This window comes from Homo sapiens, chromosome 17, assembly GCF_000001405.40.
Source record: "Homo sapiens chromosome 17, GRCh38.p14 Primary Assembly".
Lineage (NCBI taxonomy): Eukaryota > Metazoa > Chordata > Mammalia > Primates > Hominidae > Homo > Homo sapiens.
This window is the reverse complement of record NC_000017.11, coordinates 61,485,652-61,499,018: the sequence shown is the minus strand read 5'-3', so window position 1 is coordinate 61,499,018 and position 13,367 is coordinate 61,485,652. Positions and strand designations below refer to the sequence as shown.

The window sequence follows — 13,367 nt, the reverse complement described above, 5'->3', positions numbered from 1 at the left end:
CATCAGAAAAAGCAATAATTTTTAAGACTAAGCTGACTTGAAAAAGAATCAAATAGAGTTTCAAGGAATGAAACATACAATTGTCCTTGAAATTCAGAGTATTCATTGATTCCATGAAAGTGGAAAGTCTTAGTTAAATAAATGACTGGTTCTAACCATAGAAGCATAAACATGACCCCTGGTTAATTGTCCTTTTGTACTGCGGCCATCAGACAACCCTCCATCTTTGGTTGTGACGTGCTTAACACCAGCAGACATGGAATAAGCAGGAATGTTCTGAATGGGCTGGACATCCCTACAAACTCCTTCCCAGGGTATTTGTCTGTCTGTCTTAAATACTAAATGTGGCATTTTTAGTGAAATACCACCAAAAGGGTAATGCTGAAAAATGACCTAGCAAAATAGAAATTCAGAGGGAGCTTCCTGGTGGCTACACAGTTACTATTGGAGGGTTTTTTTTTTAATGCTACCTACACAAAATGAGCCCCATCTGGCCTGGTTCAGGCTTAGGCTGTGTTGCAGGCAGCTGACATAATTCCCCATGTTTAATTTCAACACTTTCCCCAATCTGCATAGTGGAACCAGCCCTTGCAGATCTTGGAGTCAGATTGGAATTTAAATTCTAGTTTCACCGCCTACCACTGTATCTGGCCCAGAGTTGACACTCAGTCTCTGAGACCTCCTTTCCCCTCCCACCTCCAGAATCTTTATCAAAGCCTCAGGACACACAGTGGCTGTGCTTCTGCTCATCTGAGTCCTAAGGACCCTCAGGAAATGGAGATAGTAGCTACTATTTACAATTACTCTTGCCAGTCATTGCCCTCTGTGCTTTATATACGTTACTTCATTTCTTTTTCTTTTTCTTTTTCTTTTTCTTTTTTTTTTGAGACGGAGTCTCACTCTGTTGCCCAGGCTGGAGTGCAGCGGCACAATCTCGGCTCACTGCAGCTTCCGTCTCCCAGGTTCAAGTGATTCTCCTGCCTCAGCCTCCCAAGTAGCTGGGATTACAGGTGCCCACCACCAAGCCCAGCTAATTTTTGTATTTTTAGTAGAGATGGGGTTTCACCACGTTGGCCAGGCTGGTCTCGAACTCCTGATCTCAGGTGATCCACCTGCCTCGGCCTTTCAAAGTGCCGGGATTACAGGCATGAGCCACCGCGCCCAGCCACGTTACTTCATATCGATTCTCACAACTACCCTGAGACATATACATATATAATTTTCCCCATTTTTTAAAATAAAGAACCTGGTACTATTTTTTATTTTTATTTTGCCCAAGATCACACCCTACAGCATGTCAGAAAGGAGATTTGAACCCATGTCTGTTCTAGGTTTTTTCCATAACACTAAGTAGCCTGACTTGTGGCTTATGGTAATATTTTCTAAATCCAGCTTCTTTCTGAAAAGACTTCATTTTCACAAAGGTTTAAACACTTGCAAGTAAACAAAAGGGGTGGGTTCTGTGGTCTTCACGACAGCCATGTTCCCACTACAGGCCTGGCTGCTCCCTCAGCTGGGAGCTGCTGCCCACTCTTATGGAAACTGCATCCAGGACAGGCTTTATTGATGCTGCCTTCAAAGCCAAGGCGGCCATCTGAGAGGATGGAAGAAACCAGTAAAGTATGGGACTCTGGTGAGCCATCCCAGGTACAGTTGTGTTTTTATGCACCAGCACATTTGTGGAGCAAATTTGGTGTCCTCATAACGGCAGTTCATGAGTACAAGTGAGGTTCAGTTCTTTGTGTAAACAGGGGAGAAAGCCTGTGTCTGAATATAATTCCGACGGCATCAAGGTCATTTTAGAGCTGGTGGAGCTCTATTTGTCTTAGGAAATCTCGAAAACTTTTATAGGGAATTCGGAAAATATTTTCGGCCAGCAGGAAAGATAAAATCCCTGCACACAAAGTGCAGGCATGGGCCCAGAGACTGAACAGACAGACTGCTGTAAAACCCCTGTTTAATAAGGCATTAAAATGCCATCGACCTGGACACATTTTTTAAAAAAAAAAGAGCTATGAAAACAAATACCATTCAAATAATTAGGATCTTATGCCTGAGGCCAGCCTTGATGCCAAGCAGGGACTTCCCTGCAGGAATCGGAGCTGAGCCTGATTCCCAAAAGGAGGAATCAGCCAAGACAAAGGCAGCTCTGGGCCTGGGTTTTTTCCCAGCCCCCTTCGACTGCCTGCCTCTAGATGCTGAAGGCAGGGTATCTACAGTCGTTTCCCTCCCCACATCTTGGGTAACTTTCTAGTCCAGTAGCTCCAGTGGGGGTCGTGTGCCCCCTGAGGCTGACTGACCTGCCTTCAGGAAGGCCCGCGGGGAAGGCCTTGAAGGCTGAGCCCTTGTACCTTTCTGCTCCATAAAGGACAAGGAGGCATTTGAAGGCCTGCTCTATTGGGAACTATGTGCCAAATGGGAGTGAAGGTTGGATAGTGAACATTTGTTTATGAACGTAGCTGTGAGGGGGAAAAAAGATGTCTTTTCATTAGCTCCTGCAAACACGGAAGCTGCCGCTGAGCTATTTCCTGCCACCGTAGCTTCTGAATAGTTGAAGGCCAGGTGCCCAGTGGCACATTACTTTACCACCCCTAATATCGCCCCCCCAGGGTAGTTTCCAAGGGCTAAGCCTCAGAAATCTGAAAAATAAAGAACGTGTCATTTTATTATTTCTGAAATGGTTGTTTGTTTGTTTGGGGGGCACCAGTATTGCACAAGACTGATGCTTAGCAGGTCTAATTGAAGGAGCTTTCATAAAATTGAATGTTAAATCCTATTGTGTCTCTGGTACAATTTGAGAGGACCTCTTTATTTTTTGCCTTTTCATTCTCTTCCTTTAAAAAATTCTCATATGAACTTGTATCAGTGATGGGTAACTCTGCTTAAGGAGTCCCATAGAGAAAGTTGTAACTATCTGAATATATTTCTCATGTTTGATTTCTTCTTCCTCCTGTACATTTCCTTTTCTTCCAAGAGATTGTAATCACAGCAAAATTTCAAAATGAGAGAGCAGAGAAAGAGAGAGAGAAGAAAGGCGGGGGGAAAGAAAGAAATATAAAGCCCTCACATTTTCTGGGGTTAATTTGAATTGAACCAGTTGGTTTCATTTTGCGATACAAAAGAAAAATTCAGGCCTTAGGGCCTAAGACTTTCATTAAATTCAGCTTTGGCAAGTTCTAATAATACAGGGGTTTATTAAAAGCGTGAAAAATGTCATTGCCGAAGCCTTTCCTAAGCCGCGGCCTCACCTCTCAAGTATGACTCACGCTTCCTCCGTGGCCGCCTGAGCTGTAAAGTTGGGGGCAGGATATTTGAGGTCCAGGGAACCGGTTCCTTGAATCTCTCTTGCCATTTGGCCAGGATCACGTCCCAATTAGCGACCTTGCCATACAGAGCAGTAGCTGGACAGCAAAAGTGAGAGAGGGGCTGAGTGCTCAGGCCTGTTGTAAACGATTAGTCCAAAAGAGTAGCGCGAAACTTAGAACCGCTGTCCCCGGCAGGAGGAAATGAAAGGATCAACACGAGAGGAGCACTGTGGCCAATTGTTCCCGGCCACAGCCACAGGCTTTTCTGTGTGTGCCGGAAATTGACCTCCCCAAAAGCCGAGGATGCAGGCGGGGCAGGGAGATTGATAAGGCAGGTGATGCTAAATCATCCCCCTCTCAGAGCTAATGGGATTGGTCAGTGCCTTGCCAATCATTCCCCCTCCTTACCCTATAAAAATCAGTGGGTCTTTTCGAGAAGAAATGAGCATGGACTGGCACTGATTGGACCAACAAGAAGCTTACTCATCGCAATCCTTTTCACTTCTTACTACGTATTTTCATTCAGAAGCATCTCATTTGGCCTGTGGACCAAGGCCAGGAGGTTGGCAACACAGATATTACTCATCCCTTTTTATAACAGAGGATGTTGAAGCCAAAAAAGATAGAGGGACTTGCCCAAGGCCTCCAAAAACACAGCAACAAAGCTGGGACTTTCTTTTGACAATAGATGTATCCCAGTGTCACCGAGTGTGGCAACAGACTTGGAAGGAGGCAGCAAAGCTCAAGCCATCCCTTCCTGGGGGCACTAGTGAGGATGGCTGGCTGACCTGCTGGAGGCACATTCTTTTCTAAGTGTCCTTGAATGCTGTCCTGTGTCCTGGATGAGCCCCAAACCCCTGGCAGTGGGGGGCGCTCAGAGGGCTGGGAGGACCAGGCAGGAATTCCCCAGCGTCACTCTCCTGCCGCTGGCCTTGTGCACCTAACCGCACGTAGATCTGGACTTTGGCGTCTGGTAAAGGAGGCTTAACTGTGAGACAGGAGACGCAATAAAGTCAATAAACAGAATTTCCCAGAAAAGAAAAATCTCACTCTTTTAGACATCTAAAATGAGTCCCGTGCAGACAGGCAAATTATGTGGGGGGAAGGGGAACAACTTGAACTGAGCACACGTTTCATCTCTATCGTCTCATTTAATCTTTTCTATAACCTTGAAAGATAAGGAGTATTTTATTGCCCCTAATTAACGTGGAGAGACAGGCTCACAGAGATTAGGCAGGCATCTAATGAGGAGTGAAGCTCCAGGCCTCTTCTCTTTCCACTCCTGGGCCTGGCCTCTCCACCCAGAGCTCTGGTGATCCACCTCTGGGAGGACGGTGGAGAGCCCAGGGCATGACAGGAATGGCAGAGGTCCCAGCCTGTGAGCAGAGCCTCATGTTGACTTCCCCATCCCCCTGTGGTCTCCATACATTTTTAAATCTCACCTCCCTTCAGCAAAAAGCCTTAAGGCTGGACGAAGTAGCTCACACCTGTAATCCCAGGACTTTGGGAGGCCGAGGCAGGTGGATCATGTGAGGCCAGGAGTTCCAGACCAGCCTGGCCAACATGGTGAAACCCCATCTCTACTAAAAATTTAAAAATTCGCTGGGCGTGGTGGTGTGCATCTGTAGTCCCAGCTACCCAGGAGGCTAAGGCATGAGACTCGCTGGAACCTGGGAGGCAGAGGTTGCAGTGAGCCGAGATGGTGCCACTGCACTCCAGCCTGGGCAACAGAGCAAGACTCCATCTCAAACAAACAAAGAAACCTTAAAGCACAAGCTACCAATATCTTATTTACAAATTGATTTACAAATTATACATATGTACTACTATACAAATATAGACATTCGATATTTGAAAAGTATTAGAATAAGTTTAAAATGTAAGATAAATAGAGAAAGAAGTTCTACCTCCTCCGTCCCTAACTTTGCTCCAGAGAGGTCTGCTATAGATTGAGACAGAGCCCTGCCATGGCTGAGAAATTCGTGATTGCAAACATGATTTGGGAATCATCATCCTTTAGCGCTGCAAGCGTTGTGAGGAGCTGTGCGGAAGAAAAGGAGGCTCAGAGAGAGGGGAGACACGGCCAGCATGTGACAGATGCGACTAGGACCACATCTTCTCATGCTGAGTCCCAAGCTCCGTGCTCTCCTCTACACTGATAGAAAAAGAAGCCAAAGGTTCATTTTCTTGGGCCAGAAAATTACATTTGGGTCTTTCATGGGACAGACTGGAGATTAATGCCTGAACCTCCTACGTTGTGTCCCGCATACATTCAGGTCCACAGCCGCCCTGAAGAGACAACCACTGGCTTTTCAGTCTGGGCCACAGAGCATGTGGGCCAGGCTACCAGCACGTGGGGGCTAGGGAGAAGGAGGACTGTGCTGTGCCATATTTGATGCTATTAAAAGCAGCTCGCATAGTTTCCATCATTCCTCATGGAGCTGCGTCATTTCCCAGACCCAGCTCTTGCTTCAGGCACCCTAGTTAGGAATTCTGGAAGTTAAAGAAAAGTGATTCCCAAACAAGTCTCTTCTAAGTCATCCCAAGGAAGCATATTTTGACCAAGAGTTGGAAAGGCAAGGAAAGGACACCCTAGCTTTGCTATCCAAGCCAAGTGGGGCTTGGGGACATCCCCAAAACACTTTATTTTCCCCCAGACACTTTAAACAGTTGTTTTCGAGGTACCTGAACTATTTCCTGACTCTACCAGCTTGGGCAGAGCTGACTCACCCACAGGGGGAGGGCGAGAGCTAGTGCAATGACAGCCCCTCCTTTGATCAGCCCCTTCTCTGTGAAGTGGAGGGCAAAAGACAACCCAAGTTCATGGTCCAGTGGGGATGGGTGGTTGGAGTTGGTGGAGGTGACTATAAATTATCATCCTCTAAAAGGGTAACCCTCTGCCATTTTGCATGCTTCAAGTCATAAACTTATTTTACAACATGTTTGTTTCCTTTTTGTTAATAAACTCAAAGTCACTAAAAATACACATCGATTGGGTCCAGTGGCCTCAGAGGACAAGGGAAGAAGGCAAGACCAGCACAGAACACGCAGTGGTAGTGGTGATAATGGCAGCAGTAGTGGCATCTTAGAGAAAAAAGCGAAAGCTTTGGGTTGGAGAGACTTGGGTTTGAAGCCAGTTCTGACCCTTAGCCCATAACCTCGAGCAAGTTTCTTCACCTCCTTGAGCCTCAGTTTCCTCCTCTGTGAGGCAGTGGTGATAATGCCTCTCCTACCAAGTTGTGGGGAGGATTAGATATAATAATCCTAATATAGTAGAGTGCCAAGTCCAATGGCTGATGGCTGATTACTAACAAACTCAGTGTAAATGTCTTTTTCTTTTCTCATTTTATAGATGGGAAACCTAAAACTCAGTTCAGATTCAACCCTCCTTTTCTGAATCTGAAATCTAAAGCAATGCCCTTCCATAAGAGGGGAAGGAAGGAGGGTGGGAACCAGCATTTGTTGAGTTCCTGTTTAGTATCGGAACATCAGGGACAGAGAATGTGCCAAGCCCTCTCACATATGTTATTTTAATCTCCATGATCACAAGAAGCAGATGTTATTTCCAATATTATCTCCATTGCATTGACAGGCACAGAAGGAATGGCTATACTTACAGGCACAAACCAGAAAGTGACAGAGCCAAGTATCGAACCCAGGATTTCTGGCTTAAGAGGCAGAGTTGGTGCCACTAACTCACGGATGCTGAGACATCTACTTCAGTGAGATAGCATTTACCCCTGAGGGGAAAAGGGGAGATCAGAGTGGAAAATTCAGCACCTATTCTTGGTAGAAGGCTAGAAAAGAAGCAGCAGCAAGGTAGGTCTTAAGTCATCAACTCTTTTATTTTTTTATGAGATGGAGTCTCATTCAGCCACCCAGGCTGGAGTGCAGTGGCCTAATTGTGGCTCACTGCAACCACCGTCTACTGGATTCAAGTGATTCTCCTGCCTCAGCCTCCCAAGTAGCTGGGATTACAGACACCCGCCACCATGCCCAGATAATTTTTGTATTTTAGCAGAGATGGGGTTTCACCATGTTGGCCAGACTGGTCTTGAACTACTCACCTCAGGTGATCCGCCCGCCTTGGTAGAAGTCATCTTGCGCCCGGCCAAGTCATCAACTCTTAAGGCTGCAGGTAGCCAGGAGGCGTAAAGGATAACTGGCCCACGGGCGCAGTGGCTCACACCTATAATACTAGCACTTTGGGAGGCCGAGGCGGGCGTATCACCTGAGGTCAGGAGTTCAAGACCAGCCTGGCCAACATGGTGAAACCCCGTCTCTACTAAAAATACAAAAACTAGCTGGGGGTGGTGGAGCATGCCTGTAACCCCAGCTACTCAGGAGGCTAAGGCACAAGAATGAGAATCATCTGAACCTGGGAGGTGGAGGTTGCAGTGGGCCAAGATGGTGCCACTGCACTCCAGTGTGGGTGGCTGAGCGAGAACTTGTTTAAACATAAATAAATAAATAAATAAATAAATAAATAAATAAATAAATAAAACCTGGCTCAGACTTTGTCAAACCTGATGCTGGAGGATCCTCTACAGAACTCACCAACCAAGCCTCCAAAGACCCTCTGGCCATTGGCCTCCCCGTTTTCGATCAGCTCCCAATTCCAAAGAGCCCTACTTGGGACTGTCCTGCCTGGCCTGGAAAAGGAGGAGGCACACAAAGCTGCCTTACATTCTCAGAACCAGGGGGTCTCTGGTGGCTCTTGCTGGGATGAGCATTTCTCCTGTTGAGGGTGTTTCTAAAAGAGGAAAGCATGACATCTGGGAAGGGTCTCAGAGGAGCCTCAATGTGCTCAGTCATAAAATAGGAGTACACTTTCCACCTTCCCATTAGAGCAGTGCTCTCTAAATGCCACAGATGATTCACTCAGTTATATCTGGAGGAGTCTCACAATTCCTTACACCCGATGCCGGAGGTTTATATTAGCACATGCTGAGACACTTGTCTTGCTCAATAGCTTATCTTCAGGCAGGCTGACGAGTGGCTCCTCCTCTGCTGTCTGATGGCCCGTGCAGGTACCTGCTAGGCTTGGAGAGAGGGAGAGAGGTCAGGCTGTGAAGGGATGAAGGATGCAGGGGCACTGTTGTTTCCCAAAAGCGTGCCCTGTGCCAGGCCCTGTGCTAGAGGCTTTACACAAGGAGCCATATTTGGGGGCTTCTTGGCCTTAGTTTGGTTTGTTTCAGGCTTTTTTCCCTTCTTGAGAGAGAGGGAAGGCCAGTCCCATCTTGGCATAGACTGAGTGGCCTCCCATGGAAGGGTTTGAAGGAAGAGACCATTTGGAACCTTTGAAGGAGAAAGAGGCGTCAGGGCTTGGGGGTCAGATGCTGGAAAACCCTGATCCAGTACTCCCAGGCCCACCTGCCCCTAGGAAGCAACAGGCCTCTCCAGCAGCCTGTGACCCTGGGGGATGGCCTGTAGCAGTGCCCTGCTTCCTCACCACGCGCAAGGTGGCAGCCAGAGTACAAGATTCAGGCCACGCAGAGCTGAAAGCAAGGTCGCCAATGAAGGCAGCAGTCTTCTCATTGAGTGGCCTCGCATCTGCTGCTTGGGCAGTTTCCTGGCTCCACATGTCAGAAAACCATCACTCCGTGAATGACAGCTTAGGGCCCAGGAGGACCGTTCACAGCAGCCCCAAGCTCCATAGCCTTACACAGCTGACATCTTGGCCTGCCCAGACCCAGGAATTTGCCGTTATAGCAAACACTGCCAGGCCTGCTGGAAGAGAGGAAACGTGTAGAGATGTAGAAAATCTTTAGGAGGTAGAATCTGCAGTTTGGTGAGCATTTGGGGTGGGCAGGTAGGGAGAGGAGGGAGTTGGCGCTGAAGCCCAGGCTTCTGACTTGAGCAACTGGATGCTGGCTGGTGGTGCCATTACCAAAACGGAGGATGTGAGGGAGGCCTGGAGGGAGAGTCTGGGTTCCAGTCTGAATTGGAGGACTTAACATCTCTTTCTGGCAGAGATGTCCAGAAGATGGTATCAGGAGACCGAAATGAGATCGGACTTGAGGTTCGTTGGCATATGTTGGTGAGAGAAGCCGTGGGAACAGATGCCGTCACCCAGGGAGAGGACCTAGGGAGGAGTGGAAAATGCTAAAGCCCCAGCCTGAACAACAGCAGCATTGCAGGCCTGGGCAGGAGCAGGGTGTCTGAGGCGGACAGCCAGGGAGGGGAGGAAAACAAACACGGGGAGGAGGCCCAGAAGTCAACCTTTGTCCACCCGGGCAGCGATTCAGCAGATCCAGCACTTCCTGACGTTACTGCCGTTAGCACTGGGCACAGTTTCTTTTAGCCTTTCTTCTTTTTCTTTTCTTTGGGTACTTCTACAATCACAAGTTTTTTTTTAATTTAATTAAATCTTTTAATTGCAGAAATAATACGTGCCCATTGTAATAAGTTAAACGAAACAGAGATATATGAGGGAATCATCATAAGCAGTTTCTTCTAAATCATGTCTGTGTCCCTAACACACACACACAAATACACGTCATACACATACATCATACATGCATACATCATATACACATAAATGCACCCCATCTCCTGGACATTTCTGCTTAATCGATGTTGGGACCTCCGGAGTGTTTTTTTGTTTTGTATTGCATACACATGGGAGACCATATGTCAGGAACTTTTTTTCACATAGTATTTCATGTATATACAGATATAGTTCATCCCCTTGTTAACTGCTATGTAATGATCTATAGTTTGGCTACACACCAATCTTTTTGTTTTCACTTCAAATGTTCTTGAAATTGTACTCTATATTAGGATCCTTTTTTTTCACTTAGTTTTAAATCAAGTCTCATATCATTAAGGGCCCTTTGTAAACATGATTTCAATGACAGCATCATATTCCAGAATGTATCTCATAATTTACCAATTTACTTTCAGCCAGTTTGGGGCTATTAAAAAGTAAAATCACAATGAATATCATACAGTATTAAACTATGTCCGCATTCCTGGTTATTTTCTTTAGGGAATGAACACTTTTAGAGTCTTTGTCCATGCTACCAAATTGCTCGTTCCAGAAAAACCATGTCAATCTGTACTCCCACTAGCAATGGCTGAGAGAGGCTCCCAACCCCTTTTCTTAAATGTTCACTAATCTGGTAGATGAAAGTGGCATGTTATCACTTCAATTTGCATTTTAGATGACTAGTGAGGTTAATTCTCCATTTGTGATTCTTCTAAGAATTATCTGAATATGCACCCATTGCTCTAGTTTTCCAAAGAGGAGGTGGTCAGCCTTCCTCCCTCACCACCGGCCCAGTCCCAGCCCTGAGCCCTCCTGCCCCAGAGGTTTGGACCCACCCTTGACTTCAAAATGGCCCTTTTCCTCCTGGTTCTGCGTCCCTTGCCATCTGTTCTCAAGCCTCTTCCATCCCCTCCACATCCCCATGGCTGGCCTCTCTCTCTCGGCTTCTGTGCCTGTGGGTGCCCCTTGCTCTGCACCCCAAAACCCTGGCACAGAACAACCAAACACAAGCCTAGAATGTTCAAGCAGGCTGCCAGGGCCTGCCATCAGACTGGGATCAGTGCTGACAGGCCAGCAGACACAGCAGGCACCCCTGCTGCGCCAACCTGGGCCAGGGAGAAACGGGGGGCCACCACGGGGGCCTCCCCTGCAGGGACCGTGCACAATCCCCTCGTCTTTTCCTTTCCCGTTTTTCCTCCTCTCCCCATTATTCTGACTCAGGCTTTAACTTTCACAAATGATGCAGTCTGCTGGTTTGGGGTTTCCGCAGGAGAATTTCTGTACTCCTGGGGGCACTGGGGCCTGTTCGCCCTTGTTACAGAAGAGGAACCCTCGATGCTCTGCAGACCCCGTCAGGCTGCTGTGATAAGCAGGGCTGTTTGAGCTGCATCATGTAAACCTGGCCCTTCCGAGTGAGACTTCGCAGAAATCCCACTGGAGATTCTTCCGCCCCTGCGCTGTCTACTTTCCTTCATAATGATAAATGGCTGAAAAGAAAACTATCTAATCTCCAAACTGCTTGCTTTTTTTTTCTCCTCTTTCTTCAAGGAGAGGAGGAAGAACACAGTCACATAAAACAGAGTCCTTCATCGCCTGCTTCTCAGGAGACGGTTCTTTCCCTTTTCATCCCGGGCCTGTTTCTGATCTGTGATGGGCTCGCATTGAAAGCTCCAGCCCGGTCCTCCCTAATCAGCTGCGACAGCCGCTGCGGTTGCTCGGGTTGCCCATCGAAATTGAATTGATTACCCGGCCGCTTTGCCATTTTGTTCGGCGCACAATTGCTTAATAGCTGTCACCTTGGCTTTCAGTCCAGGCCGGCTTCAGGCTGACTGGTTCCCATTACTCGGGATGGCCAGTGCAAGTTCATCACCTTGACAGGATGTCCCTGATTGGTTCCGTATGCCTTGGAGACCTGTCATAGATTTGCGTGGGGGGAGAGAGGGCTTGCCGGGGGATGGCATGGAAATCTCTTGGCTGCAGGAACAGCCAGGTTTCACTGCAGGACTCACCACGTTTGAATCATTACCAGGTCTTCTTGTCAGGAGTGTGGCCTCTGCTGACATAGCTGCTAATGAATTTGTAAATTTTTAAAAAATACAAAACAACCCAGACTGTTCTAACCTTTGCTGTCGCCACCTGCCGCCTGGGTGGGGGTGGCAAGCAAACAGCCTCTGCCCCCTCTCCCCCGACCCCGCCAACCCCTTTCCCCTGCTGGCTGAGCTGGAGACCCGGGCTGGGACAGAGACATCTTTCAAGTGAAATCCTTTGCGCTGGGAACTACTTCAATTAGACAGCAGGGGGAATGTTAACATGCCCTCCGGCCTTTTAAGTGGGTTTTAATTTTATGTTGTAAGATAAGACACTGCGAGGCTGGGCTGCTACTCCTCCAGCAGGCTCCATTAGTGGGGCGAGCCGAGGCCTCTTGACCCCCTGAGGCCCAGCCAAGGCTGGAAGTTGGTTTGGTTTTTTAACAATTTGTCAGTCTGACCCAGCTTCTCTTTCCCTTCTCCCTTTTGTTATTCCAGGCTCTTCTACGGTTGAGGGCCAACTGTCTGTGGCTGAGTTGCTGCTGAGAGGCCTGCCCTGGCTTCTCCCCAGGGGCCTGGCCCTGGGCTGGAGAGCACAGCCCCCAAGGCTGCCTTCCCGTGGACATGCAGCTGAACGTTAATTGGCTTTTGTCCCCTTCCCAGGCAGGGCACAGCAGAAGCAGACCCTTTTCATGTGGCAGGTTTCTGGCCGATGATGTATGACCTGTTGGCGCTCCTGAATGGTGCCCTTTGTTTCAGGATATCCCATGTGCCCCCTTTTTATTGAGCTGTTGATTCAGAGGCGCAGGAAAGTTCCACAAATCCCACTGCAGGCCCGGCTCTGGCCATGCCCAGGTGGGGAAGCCCAGGGACCTCACGCTTCCCAGGAAGCTGGCAGGAAGCCGTGGGCTGCCTCGAGGCAAAATACCCCTTTAAGAAGTGGCTTTCTTCATGTCAGACTCAGCCAACCATGTGTTTGGAGAGAACCTGGGAACATCCGCGTTGCCCCCAGCCCTCTGCCTGGGCTCTAGAAGGTGTGGAGTGTCCCAGATGTGCTGTCTTCACCCAGAAAGAAAAGAGCGCAGCAGGTGGGAGTTAGGAAGAGCCCTCTCACTTCCCTGTCCCCTGAGCCAAGCTCAGTTAACATCTTTCTCCATGACCAAGAATCCCAAGGTGTGCGCCAGCAGCTAAGGGAGGATGGAGCTTGGCTTCCTGTTCTGCAGGAAGAAGTCCAGCCAGAGAGCAGCCTAGAGCCACAAAAGGACTCTGGAGAAACAGGAGACAAGGTTGAGTCTTTACCCAGCAGGAAGTCTCATCTCAGTCCTGACAGGGCAAGGATTCAAGGGCATGCCTCCCTTGCCTTCTCTTTTCCTGGGTTCCTAGACCAGCCTGCAGTGGAGATGGTGGATGCGGGTAAGCAGCTTTGGGGAAGGAGCAATGAGGGGCAGGGCAGGTGGCAAGGCTGTAAGGAGGGAGACCCAGCAGCGCCTTCCTATGCCTGCCTCTTCCAATCTAGGGTGAACCTGGGCTGGATTTCACCTTGCT

General features: G+C 48.3%; 2 annotated features.

The window, feature by feature from the left end:
• Nucleotides 11,207-12,069: an enhancer, noted in NCBI's record as "H3K4me1 hESC enhancer chr17:59564311-59565173 (GRCh37/hg19 assembly coordinates)". NCBI's record gives its function as "activates a minimal SCP1, AML or CMV promoter by ChIP-STARR-seq in naive H9 embryonic stem cells {active_cell/tissue: H9 hESC(naive)}" and the evidence as "EXISTENCE:reporter gene assay evidence [ECO:0000049][PMID:30033119]".
• Nucleotides 12,070-12,932: an enhancer, noted in NCBI's record as "H3K4me1 hESC enhancer chr17:59563448-59564310 (GRCh37/hg19 assembly coordinates)". NCBI's record gives its function as "activates a minimal SCP1, AML or CMV promoter by ChIP-STARR-seq in naive H9 embryonic stem cells {active_cell/tissue: H9 hESC(naive)}" and the evidence as "EXISTENCE:reporter gene assay evidence [ECO:0000049][PMID:30033119]".